General features: G+C 41.0%; 2 long non-coding RNA genes across 3 annotated transcripts in view; both read right to left on the reverse strand.

Annotated features, from left to right (window-relative positions):
- The window catches only part of LOC124906112 (uncharacterized), a 204201-nt gene that overhangs the window by 101920 nt on the left and 80339 nt on the right, over nucleotides 1-21942 (reverse strand). The gene's annotated exons all lie outside the window — the stretch shown is intronic.
- Nucleotides 14817-17860, reverse strand: LOC105373833 (uncharacterized). The gene is made up of 3 exons (XR_923777.3): nucleotides 17748-17860; nucleotides 16853-17161; nucleotides 14817-15356 (listed from the first exon to the last, which is right to left on the reverse strand). It is a non-coding gene; the product is annotated as an uncharacterized LOC105373833 (long non-coding RNA).

Below are 21942 nucleotides of genomic sequence, written 5' to 3' on the forward strand. Positions count from 1 at the left end.
GAAAGCTCATAGTAAGGTTTTTAGTTAAAAGACGATTCTGCTTCTGTCTCTATATAAAGTAACCTAGATGACAGCTGAGGTCACCTCATCCTTTGAAGGATGAAAATTAAAGAGAATGAAATTTTGTCCTTTGAAAATTAAAGGAGTTCAGCTTCTTCTTTGGGTTGTCTGTCCTATGGAAAGTTTGATGCCCACCCTAAGATTCTGGCAACTTTTCAGGGGCTGTCTTAGTTTTCGATGGCTGCAATAACAAAGTTTCAACAAACTGAGCGTCTTAAAACAATAGTAATTTATAGTCCAACAGTTCTGGAGGCTGGAAGTCTGAATTCAAGGTGTCAGCAGGGCCACAGTCCCTCCGAAGGCTCCAGGAAAGAGTCCTTCCTTACCTCTCCAGCTTCTGATGGCCAAGCCACTTGATTTGTAGTGGCATAACTCCACTTTCTATCTCCATCTATGCAGGGCCTTCTTCTGTCTGTGTCTCTTTGACTTCATCTTCTTCTCTTTTTATAGGGAGAACAGCTGCTAGATTTAGGACATCATCCTAAATTTAGGATGATTTCTTCTTGAGATCCTTAATTATATCTACAAAATACCCTGTTTCCCAATAGGGTCACATTCTGAGGTACCAGGTGGACATGAATTTTTGAGGGACACTATTCATCCTACTGGAAGAGCTCATAGTCTCATGGTTAGTTTGGCTCTAAGTTTCTGCTCATAATAAAACCTTAATCTCAAACATCACATGTTCTTACTCATACACAGGAATTAAAAATGTGGAGCTCATAGAAGTAAAGAGGAGAATTGTGGTGACTAGAGGCTGAGAAAAGTGGAATGGAGATAGGGAAAGGTGGATTAATGGACACAAAATTACAGCTACATAGAAGGAATAAGTTTTAATATTCTCTAGCCCTGAAGAGTGACGTATAGGTAACAATAATTTATTACATATTTCAAATAGCTAGAAGAGAGGATTTTGAATGTTTCCAACCAATAAATGATAAAAGTTTGAGGTGATGGATGAGCTAATTACCCTGATTTGATCATTACATGTTGTATACATGTATCTTGTATACATGTACCGAAATATCACTGTTTCCCACATATGTACAATTATTATGTATCAATTAAAAATAAAATTTAAAAATCTTAATCTCACATCTCATTTTCCATGGATATATTATTTTCTTTGCTAGATACCAGCCAAGATGTAGAACTCAGTCCTTTTCCTTGATGTGCCCCAAATCTGTTCACTAAGTTGTTTATGAGCACAGAACTTATAGAGAAATGGATGATGCACACATTTCAGCAACACACACATTAACTTGGAGGATGAGGAATTTGTGTTCTTAAGTGCCCCTTGCTAGGCTGGGCGAGGTGGCTCATGCCTGTAATTCCAACACTTCGGGAGGCTGAGGTGGGTGGATCACCTGAGGTGACCAGCCTGGCCAATGTGATGAAACCCCGTCTCTACTAAAAATACAAAAATTAGCCGGGTGTGGTGGTACACACCTGTAGGCCTAGCTACTCGGAAGGCTGAGGCATGAGAATCACTTGAATCCATGAGGCAGAGGTTGCAGTGAGCTGAGATCACACCACTGCACTCCGGCCTGGGCGACAGAGTGAGTGAGACACCGTCTCAAAAAAAGAGAAAAAAAAAGTTAAAAAAAAAAATGTGCCACTTGGTGAGCTCACTTCTGGAAATTTTTCATTCTCAAACTCATCAGAACCCAGAACGCTGTTTTATTCCTGTCCCCTTTCTCCGTCTTTCTACCTACCCTGCTATCTTTTCTTCCTGGCTCCTCCATTCTGCCTGCCCCCTACCCACCTCCCCCGACTCTGATTATTCTTGTGAGGTTTGTTCAGTTTGTTTCACTGTCCTTTCATATCCAGCCCTCGAGAGGTCATCTTCTATGTGTAGCAAAGAGTTCTATTCCACAAAAATAGTTCTCTCCCAGAGGAACCCAGGGGCCATCTGTCAAAATATTAATATTAGTTGTTTCACCCTACTACAAGGCAAAGAATGATAAACAGCACAAAAATCAGAAACGTCTGTACATAGATTATGAAGTCTACTCTTTGAAGGGGTTGAACACTTTTATTTCAATTAAGTTTCATTATAATACACTTGGGAGGCTCATTTAAGTAGTTAATGAGCTAAGGCACTGATTGAGATAGATGTGTTTATTGCTGCCTCACTAATAAGAAACAAAATTTTATACCGTGTGTGTGTGTGTGTGTATGACATACTTATGATATATATGTATATAATTATCATGTAGATATTTAATCAGTATGTATGTATATGTTATGTATACTGCTAGTATGTATATATTAAGTACATAGTATATATGTATTTAAGTAGCATGCATGTATATTATGTATATAATATATATGTTATGTAGATACTGTGCATGTATACATTATGTATACTAGTATTTGTGTATATAATATATGTATTCTATTAATAGTATGTATTAGTAAGCACTTTGCTGAGTAATATCCATTGAGTTCCTTATCTAATCCTCATAATTAGGAGTTAGCTATTGTTATTTCCTCCACTTTACAGATAAGGAATTGAGACTTAAAGTTGTGAGATGCCTTTCCCAAGGTAAATAATTAGGAAATGACAGAACCTGTCTCTAGTAGTGTCCTTGCTCTTAACCCAATGATTATCACTGCTGAAGAACATATACTAAAATGTTAACAGTGGCTATATCTGGGGGGAAGATAACATTTGATTAAAATATGCTTTTCTGGATTTGTTGAATTTTCTCCAATGAACACATATGACATTTGTAATAGGAAGCCTGCTCCCCCCTCCCACCAATAAATTTTATAAAGAGACAATCACACCAGTTTCTTAACTGATTGAAAATGCAGGGCTATTATTTTTTAAAAGTCAACATTAAACTATGATAATATTATTGCCTAATATTTTGTATATTGCTTTATAAAATACAAATTATGTTCACATGCATTTCTCATTGAGTCTTTCCAATCTCTGTGGATTAGAAAGGTACATATAATGAGGTATTATTATCACCCCTTTTGTTTGTCAAATGAAGATGAAAGAATCAATTCACTCTCCGCTCTCATAAAATCATGAAAAAAACTAGCTTGACTTCAAGCTTCCTAGGGACTGGGGCTGCATCTGAAATGCCCTTGCAGCTACATCTCCAGCCCATAGCACAGAACTTACCACATAGTAGGTGCTAAACAAAATCTGAAAGAATGAAATCTAGTGCCTTACTCTTGGTCATGTCTTCTACCCATTGACCTCTAACTCTGGCCAGCTGAAATGTAATCTTTTTATTTGTACTCTCCAGTTAGGACTTTAAAAAGTTTGTTTTCTTAGACACCACCCTTAAAAGGGATTACACACAAAAATGGAGGAGTTGCAGAGAGGCATTTTAGCATTTGTGTGTGTGTGTAGTAAAATATACATAATAAAATTAACTATACTGTACAATTCAAGGGCACTTAGTAAATTCACAATGTTATGCAACCATCACCATGATCTAATTCTAGAACATATGCATCACCCCCGAAAGGAAACCCATGCCCATTAAGCAGTCACTTCCCAACTCCCCATCCCCTCAGTCTCTGGCAACCACTATACTGCTTTCTGTCTCTATGGATTTGCCTCTTCCAGATAGTTCACATAAATAGACTCACACAATATGTGGCTTTTTGTGTCTGGCTTCTTTAACTTAGCATAATACTTTTGCGGTTCATCTGTGCTGTGACATATTTCAGTATTTCTTTTATTTTCATGGCCGAATAAAGTCCATTGGGTGGATATTCCACCGAATCATTTTCTAAGGGGAGAAACAGGTCCTAGTATGAAGAGAGGTTTGCCCAAGGAAGAGGAAGTTCACTCAAGCTTGCCTTCACTTGGACCTTCCAACTCAAGAAGTTTGTTTCAGGAAGATACTGAGGAGTTATTCTCCATGTCTGTGGAGAACAAAATGAAAGGAAATCCATGGAGGGCAGAAGAGATTCTTGACTGAGCATAAGGGAGAAGTTCCTGATGATCTGGGCAGTTAAACCAAGAAACCCAATTGGGACCGCCGACCTTGAGAAAGAGAAGGGTCATCCCTTCATTCCAGATCAGTATTTGTGGGGCATTTACCACCTAGAAGCATAGGACTAGGCCAGGTGACACTTCAAAATCATTCTCACGCTGTAATTCTAGGATCATGGGAAGGAAAACTTAAAGGATTGAAAAGTAAATCACAGAGAGTTTGTGAAGATAGAAAACTGACCACTTAGGTAACTGCATAAATAGCTTAAAATTACATAAATTGGCTATAATGTTGGAAAGGGGCATGTGACATTCTAACAGAAAAACAAATTAGCTAATGGAATAAAACAGCAATTGATGGCATTGATTATAATTTGTAGTGCAAAGAAAAAGGTCAACTCATCTCCTGAATTTTATTTGGGTTAATGATAATTATGTTTAGGTAAAAAGAAATGAAAATCCTAATTGCAAGATAATGTCAGCTCTTTAGAGAACATTTTGTGCCCAACCTAAAAGAGATAGATAGAGAAAGAGAAGAAAGCACAATTATTATTTCCTTCATTTCAAACCCAAGTTAATATAAATTATCTGGAAGGAAAAATTATCTGTGCAGATGTAAAATATTATAAATTCTCAAATAATTAGACTTAGATATCTTAAGAAAAACACTCACCAGTGCTTTCAAACCAGTTTTAAGTCCTAATCCTTGTATGCTTAAATAAACATTGCACACACAGATGCAGTGTGTGAAGCAGGCTCTGCTTTAAGAGGGGAAAGATTACATTTCTGTGTTTACCCAAGAGCTGACTAAAACACATTCCATTTGGCTGGGACACACAGAAATTAGTTTGAGAAACTGGAAAGGGAACTTTATGTGTTTTAACATAACAGACTGAACGTGGTGTATATTTTACAGATATCATGAGAAGTTTCTCTCCTCCACCTTTTACTGAGCCATCAAAGAGGCAATTGTGTGAACGAAATAACACAGTAACATGTCACATTCCATTTACATCGATTTATCAAATCCAGGAAGAAGCCTTCGCACTTTCCGGACTAGTGATCAGCACTAGGCCAGTATGAAAAGCTGAGAAATGGAGAGTTTTCAAGGAAAATACACATTAAAAATAAGTACCAAAAAATCATTTTTTTTTTGCACATACTTTTACTTTTATTGACTTAGGTTTTGAAAAGTTAGTCTAGGGTAGCAACATGACTTTTGGGGGCCTTAGGCACCTTTACTTTGATGGATCCCATTCTTCATTTAAAAAATATTAAAAATTATATTCTATGACTGCATTGGTATAGAGATGAATATAATCCAGGGTGGTTTTATTCTTATATATTCACTATTATTCAATTCAATAGTTTCTCCTGATTTTCAAAGAAATGAAAATAAAACCATTTTCATGGGCCCCTAGAAATGTTGTGGGCTATAAATCTGTGTCTGCTGTGCCTGATGGATACATCAGCCCTGAGTCAGCCAGTACGCAAATAGCCCATATGGTGAGCAGAGGTCTGGACTAGGCCCAGGGGCAATGCAAAGAAGTGTAAGATGTAACATAAAATGCAGCTGAATTGAGGAAACTTACATTCAGAGAGGGATAAGGAGCTAAAGATTGATACGAGACACTGGAAATTACGGGGTAGATGGGAAGGATAGACAGGGGTGAAGGTGAAGGGTGAAAAAGATGAAGGTGGCAGATTATGTAGGAGGTTATTGCTGTATCCAAATTAAAGTTTTAAGGACTTGAGTGAGCTTGACGACAGTGAAAATGGTTAATTAAGAAAGAAAAAGACTTGAGAGAAAGGACATAAAGAACAAGGAAGGGGAAGAAGTCACCAACGATGCTGTGGTATTAGATGGCATCTTATGCCTCAATTCTTAAAGGTTTTATGTCACATTATTATGATTTTCTTACATGCTGGCCTTCAATATTTCATTTAAAATGTTCTCTCTTTATTTCCTGTTCCCACAAAAAGACATAGCCAGACTTATAAGTATAATTAAAATGTGACTTCAATTGAGCTATGTGACCATGTTTCCATCTTGTTCTTAGCAGCCATCTCATTCCCTCCCTACCCCCACCCCCAATACTCTGCATTTGTCAAAATCAGAAGTGCATTTTAAAAGAAGATTGGTTCAAATTCATGTATCTGGCCTTTTAAAACTGTGTCAGCCTGGTCAAAATGTCCTTGCCACCCAACACATTCTGGGCCGTTCCCTAGTAACAGATACTGAAGAGATGACCCATTTGAGTGGAAATTGAAATCAGCATTTCGATACTATTTTTGGTTTGGTTTCAAAGCCATGTGCTCCTTCCTCTACAACTGGCACCAAGCACAGTGGTAGCTTGTAGTACTTTGGAATAACTTTCCAAATATTTTTAGTGTTTTCTCTCTGAAAATATGAATGTTCCAAAAAAGGGAGACGAGTGGAAAACCCAGACCCAGGAGATGCTCAGAGATGCATTCAATATGACCAATTATTTAGGGACCAATTCCCCAGACCCTGTTTTAGAAAATTCATCTATGATAAAGATGGCACATGCATCAAAGAGCCTATAGCCACCGGAGAAGAGAAGCAAGCAAACCAGATGATGACAACATGATGCAGTATGTATTCCTGTGGAGCAATATATATGCTTGGGATGCAACAGAAACACAGAGGGAGTTTGCCTAATCGCTGAAAGGACTGAAAGATGAAAATGACCCAGAAAGGTTTATAAGAAGAGGTGGTAGTTAGGCAAATACTGTTAGTTGTGTATTTAATATTTACTCTTGTCCTTATTAACATGATGGCAATTTTTATTCAGTGTGGCAATATGCTCAGCTGAGAGATTATATTTTTCAGCCTAATGAACATATGACTACGTTTTGACTAGTGAGAGGTAAATGGGCATTTTGATGAGTTTTCCATGAAGGCTCCTTACAGGGAGAAACAGACAGAACTCTTTCTTTTTCCTTTCCTTTCTTCTTCCTTCCTACCTGGAATATGGGTGTGATAGCTGGAGCCCCAGCAGCCGTGTTGGATGATAGGTGAGCTTGAGAATAGGATCCAAGGACTAAGGATGGCAAAGCAGGAAAACATAAGGAATCTGACTTCCTAATGATCATGGTGCCCATAATACAGTTCTAGATTGCCTCTCAACTCCTTTTACATAAAACTAAATAAATAAATAAACTCATATACCTTAGCTATTATTCTTTTGGGCCTCCTTAATGCTAACCTATATTGTGCTCATTGAGCTAAGTTTTGAGAGATTAGTTAGAATTGACAAGGTGGACAAAAGGCAGAAGGGAAAAGCTTTAGCAAAACCCCAGGAGCATGAAGGCATATGCAGTACTCAAGGACTTGAAGGTGGTTCTGCTTAGCAATGAGGTTGGGAAATAGAGCAGCTACTCTCTTGCAGGCAAACTACCTCTACTACTACATCTAGGTCTTTAGGAATTAATATGTGGCCACACCTGAGGACTGCCACATACTTACTGGATCCAGGACGCAGGTGAGAGCATTTGTCTTAATGAGCTAGAGAGAGACTACCTGCACAGTAATAGGAGGGAAAGAGGATGAGGAGGGAGGAGATGCCAGGAGAGGTGTATGTTTAGAAGCTTCTGCATCTGTAGGTTGATATTGTTTGTTTTCCCTGTGAAAGAGAGAGCCTGGAAGAGATGGGGTTTGAGGAGAGCAGAGGAAGTTTGAACAGCTGCTGTTCATTTATGCCTTTGTGTCCTTGTGTATCAAGTATTCCCCAATTAAAATGATTTCATGGTTCTCCTCCAGCTCCTGTCTACCTGATCAAGAATTTGTTTTGATTCCCTCTTATCGAATCTCCACTGTGAAGACTTCCTTGGCTGCTGGGACAAGCTCTCCTTCCTCTGAACTCTTTTACCCTGTATTGCCTAGTCATCATAGAGAGCTTTGCTTTGTGTGGTATCTGTGGTTGTCCATGACCCTACCTTCAATCATGGTGATGAAAAAAAAGAAAAAGAAAAAAAAAAAAAACAGAAAGAGTTTTAAAATGACCCGAACCTATGACCTTGGATATTCAATCTCTCTAAGCATCATTTTCCTCAACTGCACAATGAGGGAATGTCACTATCTTGAAGAGTTGTTATGAAGATTCAGAGTAGGCATGTAAAGTGCTTAGCACTGTGCTGGGTGCATAACAGGCATTTAACTGGAGGTGGCTTTTGGCATTATTTCTACAATACGTACGATACACTTAATAATCACTCTCAGTTGAGGCAGATCCAGACCCCAGGGTCTCTATACATTGTAATCCTAGACCAAGTTGTCCATCAGTTGGAAACTTCTGTCCACAGCCCCTTTGCTGCCTCAATGACCATATCACCTCTTGGTGATAGAAGGATCTCACAGTTCACTCTGGTTTTGAGCAGGGGCTGAGTCTCAATATAGGTAGGGCCTGGCACAGTGAGGAACATGCAGGGAGCACCCAATGCATCCTTATTTCATGAATGAATGAAAGAATGAAGAATGAAATAATTAACGAATAAAAAAAGAACTTCTTTTTGGGAGAAAGCAGTTCCCTTTCCCTTGATTTCCACTTGGGTCAAAATATCCCTGTCCTTGCAAAAATTAGGACTTGGGTGCTTGAAACTTTATCCATGCAACTTAACTCCTCATTTCTTTATTTTTGTCAATCTAGTTTGGACAGAACAGGTAGTAAAATGCAAAGGAAGATCTCTGGGAAAAACGAGACTCTTAAAAACCTTTTGAAAGACTCCTGAGCAGGCCAAGTGTACATTTAGCTCCTACTTATACTTCAGCAGGCAGCAGCGACACAAAAGCTGGGCCTGTGTTCCTGCTCCACAAAGCACCTGATTCATGAGACAGCTTTGCGGGAATTTAATTAGTGAAGGAATGTGCAAAGCTTAAGCGCTTCAGATGTCATTAACCATTGGGGAGGGGAAAAGGAGTCAAGGAAGGCCTAACAGATGTTTGATTCAGACTCGTTCCTGCGAAACAGATCATTGCACACATCGTTTTTCTATTTGGGTAGCTCTTGGGTAAATCTTGTTAATGATATTTCATTCTTTCAGGAACCTAGTTTAACATGTGTCCGGTTTAAAGCAGAGAAATGCACCTTCTGCCTCTCAAGGGGAAATAGGCTGACCGTTTTTAAAAAAATCTGGTTCTTTCACGATTGCTTTTCTAAAGTCACTATTTCAACACATTGCATGTTGAATCCATGAGTTGAATGAACATGAATCTTTAGTTTCAGAAAGTGAAATTGTGGTCAATCTGTGAAGGAACTGCATGTTTTGGTTTTGATGGCTCTAAGTGTTTAATAGCACTTTACTCCATCTAAACCGGATTGCCATTTTGTTCATAGAGAAGTATTCTGTGAGGTTTTTAGCTTAAGTGGCCAGCCATCAGGGCTGCTTCCAGTCCTGGGTTGGCAGTAAAGGCCTCAGCTGGTCTCAGAGGCGGAGTGTTGCTAGAATAGACTCAAGCTGGACTCCCACTGGTTGAAATGGACAGCATTTGTTGCTCTTCCAACAAAACTAAAACTGCCTTTTTTTACAAATAGGAACAGGCTACTAGATGTTGTCATAGAAATAAGAAATGCAAGAATCTTTAGGCCATCTGATTTATCTCTCTACCAGCTCCTGTTTACAGCCTATTTGTCAGTGCCCATTCCAAGTTCTCTGTTCTTAACATCTCAGGATGCTCGCTTTTGGGGACAGAATTAGAAAAGGAAGGAAAAGATGATACCAACTAGACTTGCTTTAAATCCATGTAGGCTTCAACTGACTTTTGAGTATTTTAAAGAGCAAGTTCCTAGAACTTTTTTTCTGTGAAAGTGTTAGTGTAATGGTGCTCAGAAACTGATTGCTGCCATGCCTAAATTACCCTCTATCAAAGCATAATACTAACCACTCATAAGATGAGAAGAAGAAAATCAGCAAAGCAGATTTCCTGTCTTGGTTTCCTTGATTTCTGGACTTCCCCACTCCAAATGCTTAGAAATGAACACTTAACTATCTGCCACTGCCATCAAGGTTGCTATATGCCCTTTTCTAAGTTTGACCATTTCAATATTTAGCAGTGAATTGTCATGTACGGTAACTGATCCCAAGAATAAAAAAAGTTTTCTGGTATTTGGACATGATGCAAAATGTTCTGGACAGCCAGTAATATATCTTCCATAGCCCTTCTCTTTCAATTTTTTAAAAATTGCAATTAGTAGTTTTTACTTGTTCATTCAACCAACAACTATTTGTTGAGTGTCTCCTCTGTGTCAGGTTCCACAGAGAGAATGGAGACTAAGACACCATCCCTGCATTTGCAGTGAGGTTGGCAAGCAGCAGCATTTAGAAAGAGAGAGTCCAAGCAGGGCTGGAGCCAGCTGCACAGGGGAGGTCAGAGACAACTGTCAGGATCAGGGTCTCCATGTACAATTGTGTTGCCCAAGATGCAACTGATAGGGGGGCTTTGCACCAGTCTGAATATGTCTCCAAATGGAAGAAGGGAACCTTTTCTTACATCTCACAAAGGCATTATACATGTTAGCAGTGAACCAGTCAGGATGCATATATCTTTAACTAACCACAGTTTTTAGGTAATTCCATTTCATATTTCTATACTAACATTTTTAAAGCTTCACATTTTTATATTATGCTTGCTCAGTTCAATATCCTGGAAATGAAAGCATACAACTCTCATAGAGTTTGCAGACAGGTCTATGGAATGATTAAGTTAGTACACAAAGAGGAAATCGTATTTGTTCCACTCTTTTAATACTGCATGGACCTGGAAGAGCAACACCTCTATCCCCCCACCCTCCAAAAGCATTAGAAAAAGCCAGCTGGGGCCGGGCACGTTGGCTCACGCCTGTAATCCCAGCACTTTGGGAGGCTGAGGCGGGCAGATCACAAGTTCAGGAGATCGAGACCATCCTGGCTAACACGGTGAAACTCCTTCTCTACTAAAAAATACAAAAAAATTAAAAAATTAGCCGGGCGTGGTGGTGGGCGCTTGTAGTCCCAGCTACTCAGGAGGCTGAGGCAGGAGAATGGCGTGAATCCAGGAGGCGGAGCTTGCAGTGAGCCGAGATCACGCCACCGCACTCCAGCCTGGGCGACAGAGCGAGACTCTGTCTCAAAAAAAAAAAAAAAAAAAAAAGAAGAAGAAGAAGAAGAAAAAGCCAGCTGGTGAGGTGACAAGGGCAATTTGCTGAGTCTTTTAAAAAGGAAACAAAGCTAAAGCAAGTTCAAACACATTACATTTTAAGTCAATAGAGGCAGGCTAAAGAACGTTAAAAAAGGATAGTCTTTTGGGAATAAATCTTGTGGCAAACTATCTATCAGGAGACATGTTTTTATACCAATGCTTCCTGAACAACTGAAGAAGAGCCAAGATAAGGACACTTTCCTGGAAAAAGTTTTAAATATCATCAAATCAGTGTTTCAGGACTTTTTTTTTTTTCAGTGCTTTAAAAATATTTAGCATCAGTCTTTTCTTTTTTTTCTACAAATTTATCTATTTTCTAGGAGATATTACAAACCCTCCAGCTTGCCATCCATATCTGTTTCAAGAATGGAGCCCAAATGTTAGCACAGAATCACTGTAATCAAAATGGTAAGTCCAGAGGGTGCTGCTTGATTTTGACTGTCATTTATCACTCTGTCTAAATGGTTTCCATTTATCATTGAAATGTTATCTGGAAGGCAAATCCTGTGTCTGGAGGCATGCAATGTTTTGCATCTACTCTACAGAAATAGGTGGGATCAGATTTGGACAACTATAACCCAGTAGATTGAGAACATTCCCCTGAAGATAGGACTCCAGACAGGTGTTCATGGGTCTGGTCCACCATTACTGCTCAATCCATCTCCCAGAGCAGTGTTGGATCACTGGGAAAGTGGCCTGCTGCTCTCTCAGAAGGTCCAACCCAGAATGGAGTCTTTGTGTCCCCTGACTGTTGTCTCACTGATTTTTCTTTATATGTCTCTTGCATTTCCCTAAGCTCTATTGAATGCTTAGTTCATTGCTCACTGATTTCCAATGTGACTTAGTAGAGAAACCAAAACTCAAGCCTTTGAAAGAAATCACATCTCTTTTCTTAAAACTATAGGGTTTTGTGATGGGGCTTATTGGGTGTCTTTGTGGCAGGGGGGTTCCATCCAGTCTGTTATGTTTAGTACTACTGCCCTGAGTAGTGGATTTAGTTTCTCTAAAACCCATTATTCTCCCTAATGGGAGTTACAGAGGAACATACCTTGTCCCCTTCTATCTTTTCTAGGTAAGACCCTAGAAATTTATGCACAGAAGCTCTAACTACATTTCTGTGAAGGGGACAAGGGTCTGTCTCATTCTTCCTTAGGATTGTTGGAGCTGCCGTGCCACTGGCCAGTGTCATACTTTGACCCAGGAAAGTAGCATACTCCGCCCCAAGCCTCAGAGCACCATGTACTTTCATGCACCTTCCTCCAAGGAGGTCCTACACAGGTGCATGAAACTGGCTGGGATGGGTAGTACCACCTGAATGGAGAACCATGAGGCCAAATGGAACCCTGTGGCCCCCATCTCCATTTTTCCCCATAGTGGTGGGATCAAGCAGATGCCCTGAGGAGTTTCATGATTCTTGTCTATGGATTTGTCCCAGCCCATGGCCAGTAGGGTCTTGAATGGCCATCTGGCTAGCAGACGAGAGTCACTAATCTGTAAGCTTTTTCCTTCATAGGATCATGCAAGATTGGGCCACCAGAATGGTGCTGATATAAGGATTTGGGGTGACTCTCACTGATGCTGGACATAAGATAAGGTCAGGGCTCTGAGCTCTGGATCGTCCCACCCTGGAGCTTGAATTGCATTTGTTGGCCTTTGTTGGCTCTCACCCATTTGTGTTCTGATTATGGTACCAGGTCTACAGTATCCAAGCATGGGAAGGTGGTGCAAACATCCTTCACCCTGTATGTCCCACACAATCTCCCTACCCTCTTTACAGGCTCCATGCCATCTTTTGGGCTGGTCCCAAAGGGTGACTGCTCTTGTGCTCCAAGAGCTTTTGAGACTGTTGCTTCATAACTCCAACAGCCCCTTCCAATTGATGAGCTCTCTTGCTTCCAATCAATATGATATCATCTTACTCTTACTCCTTGTTAGGACCAGTCCTAATGAGGGACTAACATCTCTCCAAGGACTAGGATTGCTTTGCCTGCTCAGCCTAGAGGCCCTCTGCCTCTCTGCCCCTGTGGTGCTGGTGTACAGGCCTGCAGGCAATATTGAGACAGACCACAGTCTAGAAATTCACTGATTGTGGTGTAAAGAGAAATATTGTCTTATGCCTGTGCTATAAAATTCCAAAAGGAAAATTTTACATCATTTACAAAATTATTGTATACATTTGATTTTTGATCACCATCAACAAAGCACAGTAACAACCTTTGAGAGAGCCACTGGAGCAAGTATTCATGGGCTGCGGGTTGCATGGTGCATGTCATAAGTACCACTGTGACCGACACTAAATAATTGGAGTTGAAGAACTGCAGAGGCAAAAGATATGTATCGTTTCAACGCAAATTGCTTCTTTGTGAGTAATAACAACATTGCTACCTTTTACTTGTGGAGAGCGATGTAAAAAAAAATTAGCCAAGACCAGCACATTTGACAAGAAAGAAAATAACAAGATGGCTTGTGGACTTAAATGGGAAATGTAGTGTCAGGACGCCATGAAGAATCTTCATGTGCACTCATTGGACTGTGAAGAAATATGTAAGTACCTCTTCTCTATCCACTATTCAAAATTCTCCTCACTAAATTATGATAGCTCACATGCACCTGTGAGCTTCATAATATATTATTATAATCAAAATGTTTATATAGACAAGGGTCTCACAAAAAATATTTACCTGGATTGCCCACATAGTCTTAGAGCAGCCCTGTCTCTGACTTATGCAGCTGGGGGAATATGTTTGACTTTAATCTCCAAGATTTTGCTCAATATTCTGATTCTCAGGACACTCCTTAGGGTCCCTTGAAGATGGTGATAAAGCGCCTGCCCTTCTAGGACAGCAGGTTCCCCATTCTCCTTTCTTCTGTCCCCAGAGAATAGACCTGCTACCATCCTCACAGGATTTGATGCTTGCATCTCATTATATGGACTGGATTTGGGCTTTGGGGATTTTAAAATTATTTAATATTTCATTCAGCAAAGACATTTATTCAGTTCAGTTCTTGCTATGTACCAAGCAATGTAATTGGCACAGGGCTTACAAAGATGAATAAGACTTGGTCTGCACCCTCCAATAGCTCACACTATAGTAGGAAGATGTCAATAAACAGGGCACCAATGAATAGGCGCTATCAGCAGACATATGCAGAGTGTAGACGAAGTCTTAGCAAGAGGATCGGGGGTCCTACAGAGAGAAAGGCTTGAGGAGCTTCATAGAAGTCTCTTTAAACTAAGCTTTGAAAGACGACTTGGGGATTCACCGGGCCAGATGGGATGGGAGGGAGGGAACGGGCAATCGAGCTGCTGGGCGGAGGTGAGCAGATGGACCGGATGCAAAGCATATGACACACCAGGGAAACTGTAAGTAGGTTCTGTGTGGCTGGGGTGTAGGGAGGGGCTCAGCAAAGGAGGAGGCTGGAGAGGAGGGAAGGACCAAGATTACAGAAGGCTTAATGTGCTCTGCTCAGGAATCTGGGCTTTAGACTGTGGACGGTGGAGAAGCACTGATGGTATTATGTTACGAGGCACATGATCTTATTTTGTTTTAGAAATGTAAGTCTCTAAGAAGTACAGATTATAATTTGGGGAGAGATTGAGGGCAGGGGAAAGTTAGGAGGATGTATTGGTACACAGTCCAGAGGGGATTGAGAATCTAAGGTTGCAGCCCTCGGTAAGAAAAAGGCAGGTTAATGATTGGAAAATCCATGTGTAGATAGTAATCACTCAAGATAAAGGCAAGAGTCAGGACGGCTTCTCTGTTACAAATGTTTGGGCTGCAAGAAAACTCAACTAATAGTGGAGTTTTTCCTCTCCAGTAAAGATTCTGGAACTACAGGCTGCTGACATTGGTTGAGAGTCACAACACTATCCGGGTTTCTGCTCTGGACATCATGCCAACATTCAAGGCAGGAAGAAAGGGGAAGAGGCAGCACAGGCAGTATCTGTCCCAGTTTTCTTTCCATCCCAACTGTCCGCTGTCTTCTGTCTTGATCAAGAAAAGAAAAGGAGCACGAAACAGTCTAAGCCTTATCAGAGGGCACCAGGAGGATAATGAAACACATCCCCACCACTGGAGACTCACGTTGAACTTGCCCAGGCTTTGTTGGTGCCTTGCTGGTAGTTTGCCATCTCTAGAAATCGAAAGAGCAAGAACAAGAGGCATGTATGTATGAGAAGGGTGTTTATGAAAGGGGCCTTGCCCCTAGTTTAAGCAACAGAAGCTATAAGCAAGGAAGCTGAGTCTGCTTCCTCAGGGACCTTTATAAGGAGAGCAAAGTGGCTACTATTTATCAAGCAGTTTCTATTTGCTATGTGTCAGGCCACACTCTTCATGGCTTACATGCTTTTACTCCACTCATCTCAGATTCGAGGTAGATAGCATCACCACATTTTGAATAAAAGAAATTGAAGCTCAGGGTGCTTCCACTGCCCAAGACAACCCAGCTAGCAAGTGGCAAGCCAGGAGTCGAACTAAGGCAGGACAACTCTGAGGCCACAAACATGCTCAGCTGCCTTGGTGCTGCTGGGTACAGTCTTGGCCCAGGAGAACCAAAGCCCTAAAGTCCATTATGGCTGGGCACAGAGGCTCATACCTGTAATCCCAGTACTTCGGGAGGTCAAGGAAGGGGGATTGCTTGAGCCTAGGAGTTCAAGACCAGCCTGGGCAACATAGTGAGACCCTGTATGTACAAAAAATACAAATATTAACCAGGCATAGTAGCACACCTGCAGTTCCATCTATTCGGTAGGCTGAGGTGAGAGGCTAACTTCGAGCCTAGGAGGCAGAGGCTGCAGTGAGCTGAGATCGCACCACTGCACTCTAGCTTGGGCAACAGAGCAAGATCCTATCTCAAAAAATAAAATAAAATAAAGTCCATCATAAGCTGAAGTTTTAAGGTTGGGAAAAATACTAACAACCAGAACAGGATCTTTCCTGACAATAACTTTCCCCTTAGCATCCTGTGCTCACAGCTCAGTAGCTGTATACGGGAAGGTCTCTGCACAGTTTAGAAACAGAATGCTTTTCCCTTTTCCTTATCATCTGAATGATTACCCTAAGTGTGTCCTGACCACCAGCTCCTCTTCTTTTCTTGTGAACAAGCATCAAGGGCTCCGAGATGTACTAAGTGCTATCAGGCCACAGGGATGACATCTTGAACTCTCCCTTGATTCCCACATCCATTGTCAACTACCAGAGACTCATTCTGTCTTCCTATTAAAGCCACAGCATTAATATTCACTCCCAACAGTACCTCTATAATATTTTATATGCTTAAAACAAGTATAAATGTTGTTTATAATAATAGGGGGCCTGGAATTATAAATGCTCTTCTTAGAGAACATTTTTTAAAAAGATACTTTTTTTTTCTTTTATTTTTGTGGATCCTGGGTACTTCAACAGCATGCTTAGTAGAATAAAGACAGCAAAGCCTGAGCACAATAGCTTTTGGGGATAAGAAGGTGAAGGAGGCTAGGCCTTTGCCCTGGGAGAGCCAGAGCTCTCGTTAGCATTATGTGCATCCTCTCCTGGGGGTTCTGACTGGGCCAGAGGAGCGGTCTCAGGCACACAGGAATTGCTTGAATCAGATGCTGAATAATTGCCTTTAAAAAAATAACAGTTGAATACCTTTTCAAAAAAGATCGTGAAGTCTGTTCTGGGTGGCTTTAAATGAAGGACATTTGCTTATCTCCACAGTTGTTTCACTACAGCTCTAATGAAGGTGGGCATATGATTTAGTGACCTCGTAAATTCCTCTCCAGCTCCTGGATTCCATAATTCTGTTTCCTCTGTGGTGGATGAAAAGCAACCGTAGCAAACCTCTTTGGCTTCTTTATACTTTTCTACACTGTCATCCTCCTTGGCTTTAGAGTATACTGGTTACCATGGAAACAGCAATGTCCTCACTGTGGACAGAACTTAATCACATCCAAAAGGCTGAAATAAAGTACATTTTTATCTTGGATTGAAATTTGTATTATGATTCACGAAATGGAAGAGAGAAAGTAGAGGAAGAAAGCAGGAGGCTAAGAAGGATGAGAGGAGGGAGAAGGAAAGAAGCGGAAAGAAGGGAAGAGGTAGGAGCTGAAAATGATACCCCATGTGTCTGCCTGAAGAAACTGTCTGAGCGGAGCCTGTCGGTTGAAGTGCACTGCATCCCTTACTACAGGCCACACTGGGTCTCTTCCAGGTCTCACAAAGACTCTGTAAAACTAGAGCTGAGGCCGTCCAGGCAGGCTGCTACCCTGATGTGATTTGATATGTGCTTGCCCAAGATCATATCCCCCATGCACTAGTTGCCGAGACTGAAATCCCACCATGAGTGGTAAATACCCTTATGAATTGTTTTCAGTCGTGACACAGGTCCCACTAGTGAGTTAACAGCTTATGCCATGATCAACTCACATATTTGGAGGATATTCTGCTCAGATCCCTCTGAAGCCCTGGCAATTAGTTGAAGGACAAGTGCTCTGGCAATTAGAAAATGCTTAATAAAGTTTCCAATCTCTAGAGACATTCCCACCTTCCTTCCACATCTCCCGGCCTGCTGATGTGTCAGCTGTTTCCTGCCATCTGAGCACCCACCTCGGAACAGACCCAGGCTTGTGGGGTTTGAAGCTTAGATGATTCTGGACCCTCTTTAAGAAAAAGGATAGAACATTATGAGTATAAAGTTAGGCACAAGGTCTTGAAAGGGACACATGCAAATGAGGGGCTTAAGCATCAGTAGCTTCATGGTAATTTGCTTCTGCATCTACTATCTAATCTAATCTTTAAACAGTACCACAGGTACGTGATTATATCTATTACCAGATAAGAAAACTGAGGCCCTATGCAAGTCATCAAAATTTACTTAAAATTACTGAAAATGTACTAGACCAGTGTGGTTCAACTGTCACTCCTTGAAACTGATAATTGGAGATTGATCATGGGAGGACGTCTCCACAGCTGGTTTTTTGCATAAGCATCAGTTGTAACACGCAGAATCAATCCCACTTTTCCAAAATGTGACTTTCATTTCCCCTCCAAATCCAAGCCAGCTGAGGGAATTGGATTTCAGCTGTGGTTGGAGTGCTGGAGATGGTATCGCATATCCCGCTTGAAAATAATTGATCGGCTTCCTGCAATGCATTGCTTGCTCTCGCCCCATGACAGAGATGAAAACTGAGACCATCAATTGGATGGCTGGTTAATATCCACAGGCAATGTGCATTCAGTGTATGAGGAACAGAAATCAGGGCCAGCCTACAAAACAGCTGGACAGGGCACTTTCTGGAGTCCTCCTGGTTGTCTTGCATTACATAGATCCTGTCAGAATGACAATGGAAACGGCCTTTTCTTGCCCTTATTAGTATTAGCACTGTTGTCCAGACTTTCATTTCAGCCCTAATCAATTTAATATAGCTACGTGCACAAACATCCTCACATGCAGAGTACCTAAGCATAGCTCCTCTAGTGTTGTCTTAGAAATGGTGGAAACTCAGAGGAGTCAGAAAAATGGAATACTCTCCTATCTCACACTCCACAGAAATCCACAGGGGGCACATCAGTGGAGGGGCTTTCAGCATGGTGTCTTACAATTGGCTAACTCTCAGCCCCAGCAGGGTGCACCAGTAGGGATCTAGCCAGGGCAAAGTCACAGAGAGCAAAGGCTGGAATAGCAGATGCTCCCCTTAAAGAAGAGAATGGGCAGGAGAATTGAGACCCCTGACTAGAATCCAGATTCACATATTGTGGGAGGTAGTTGCATCTGAGGCATGAAGCCTCCACTCGAAATTTATTTTAACAAGCCTTTCCTATGTTTTTTTCTTTGTCAGACAAAGCACTGTTCTAGGCCCCATAATGATAGCACAAGTTTATTAAGAGATTGCTAAGAGCTATGCACGGGACAAAGTATGTTTATGTCTGTGATATAATTTGATCGACTATCAAATTTATTCTGACACCACCTTGAGGAAGAAAGAAAGCTAGGTAACTTTTTTTACAGAAGAGAAAACTGAGGCTCCATGAGATTAAATAATTCTCAGAGTCACCAAGCTAGCCAATGGTGGAGTCAGGGTTCAAATCTAGTTCTATCTGACCCTAGAATCATTGCTGCAAACCTTGGTGACATTTCTGGAGTGGTTACAATGTGCTAATCCTCAGGCTAGCAATTTTCATAGTCTCTTCTTTGACCTCTACACTTATTTGTAAGATACTTTATTCCTGTCTTCCATGACTCTTTAATTTGGCATAGGAAACAGCATGTGGTAAATGAGAATTATTAAATATATACATATATTTAATATATATTATATAATATATAATATATATATTAAATATATGTATATATCTTCTCCAAAACAAGTCAGAGTAAAATAAATGTCAAAAGGAAGATGAAGAGTTCATCAAGTCAGTGGCTCAGAGATGGATTTTTAAGGATAGTTTGGATTTTCAGCCCATTGAATTGGCAAAACAGGGCATTCCCCATGGAAGGACCCATGTGAATAAAGACAGGGGCATGTCTGGGAATCAGCATATCTTGTTATTGTGGTTTGACCTACACATAGGTTGTATGCAGGGGAGATTTGGCTGGGGAGTTTGACTGGCATTAATCACCAGTTAGAAAAGTTCTCAATTCATCTGGTAGACAATAGGAGAGAGATCATAAGGTCAGAGATAAACTTTGGAAAAGAAAACACTGCAGCATTTGTGGACAAGACCAAGGCAATCGTTTGCACAAGAGGTAATAAAAGGTCTGAATGTGGGTGGGGATAGGGAGGATGGAGGGAAGGCTCATGCAGGAGACACATCTGAAACACTGGATTTTATGTTCCAGCCTCTGCGGAAAAGACTCATACCATGCTCCTATTCACTCTGCCCCAGGGTCTTTACCCCAGAGCCAGTATCCCCACAGGAAGCCAGGAAGTGTCTCTGAGAGAGACTATGTCTTCCAAAAATGTTGAGCCCCCTAGAGAGCTAGAAGCCCTGCTGCCCACCTGGGGATGGCCCATCTGCAATATTGACTGTGCACTGTTTTTCCCACATCTGTGAGCCTGGAATCCCAATGGGTAGGAAAAAGAATGGGTGAGCTAAGAGCTTAAGAAATGATTTCTGGGAGAGCATAGCAGAATGTACCCCTTGGGTCTGGCAGGACCATTGGTTATCATAGGACACAAAATCTGTATATTGTAAGCATAATTGTTTGACAGCTTTCTGTATTTTCTTCATTGTTTTCCATTTGTGCTTTCTTCGGTGGTGTTTTTAAAAATGAAGGTCCTTCTGAAAATTACTGCCTGTCTCAGCTATGCTGAAAGCAAATACAAAAATGAAGGATTTTTTCCCACTTGGATCCAAATTTTAAAGGTGGACTTGGAAATGGGGTGGGAGCAGGTAGGAAGGCCAGTGAGGATTTAGGGAAGAGTCAGGGTGAGCCTAAACAGCTATTACTTCTGGCCCAGAGAGTCTCCTGCCAGTCTGTGTCTTCCAGAGGGTTTGGGTTTTGTTTGATTACCTTACTTCTGGATACACCACGGACTTTTGGTGATTTGTTTATATAAGAATAGAGATTGAAGTGACCCTGAAGAACAAGAAGAGCTTCAATGTGACTCCAGTGCTTTCCAGCCCTCCCCAGTTCCTCACCCGTGAAGCTGCCAGGGTGATCAATCTAAAAAGCAAACATTATTCATCACCCCAGAATAGAATCTCTCCATGCTAACTAACCTGGTTTGATTCCCATTTACCTTTTGGGCTCATCTGCCCTACATATATTTTCTAGCCATGCTGAACTGCTTGATTTTTTTTATCGTTCCTCCTCCTCATCTCCGTAACACGTGCACGAGTATATGCACGAACACATGAACACACACACACACACACATTTCTTGCCAAAGCGCCCATTCCCTCACTTAGAATGGCAAATCTTTCTCATCTTTTAAGGTATAGGAAGCCTTCCCTGACTTTATTCTGGCTGACTCAAATGCCTAATTTCCAGGCTCCTGCAATACCCGTAACACATGGCTACAATTGCACTTATTAACTTGTATCATCATCATCTGTTTATAAGTCAGTTTTCTGAACCAGACCATGGGCCATGGGCTCCTTGAACGTAAAACTGAATCTTCTTCATGTTTGTATCACTGTGTCCAATAGTCACTTATAGAGTTCAATGTATGTTTGAAGAATGAATGAATCCTGGGAATTGCCTGATGTAGCACTGTTTCTGTGTAGAACCAACTTTAACGCAGAGATGTAATAATCATGTGCAAAAGGAGAAATAACACTCATATGGGGAGACTTTACACTCATTCCAAGATAAAGATGAAAATCACATTAATTGTTTAAGCATGGGCTCCATTCAGAACCTTCAGGTTGGGAGCTTTGAGCCCATTGGTATTTTATATTTATTTACACATGGCAAAATCTGGTTTCCTGTTTTCAGAGAAAATGTTTTTCACAAAGCTTTATTAAAATGTTCAAACAGTCTCACAGACATCATATCTCTCTCACAACACAACTCTTTAGTATAAACAAATCAGAAATGCAAGGACTAAATTCCCCTTCTAGCATATGTGGGCTTAAAAAGAAAGCAACCATGCTTGACAAAATAAGCTCTGAGCTTTATTCCACCTCTGTTTAGATGGAAGCTCAAGACCCCCAGTCAACCAGAGATGCATCAAGGGCCCCCTATGCCAACTGCAAGAAATCAGAGAAAGAGGGAGGGAATGCACGGAAGGAGA

The sequence above is a fragment of the Homo sapiens genome, chromosome 2, assembly GCF_000001405.40.
Source record: "Homo sapiens chromosome 2, GRCh38.p14 Primary Assembly".
NCBI lineage: Eukaryota > Metazoa > Chordata > Mammalia > Primates > Hominidae > Homo > Homo sapiens.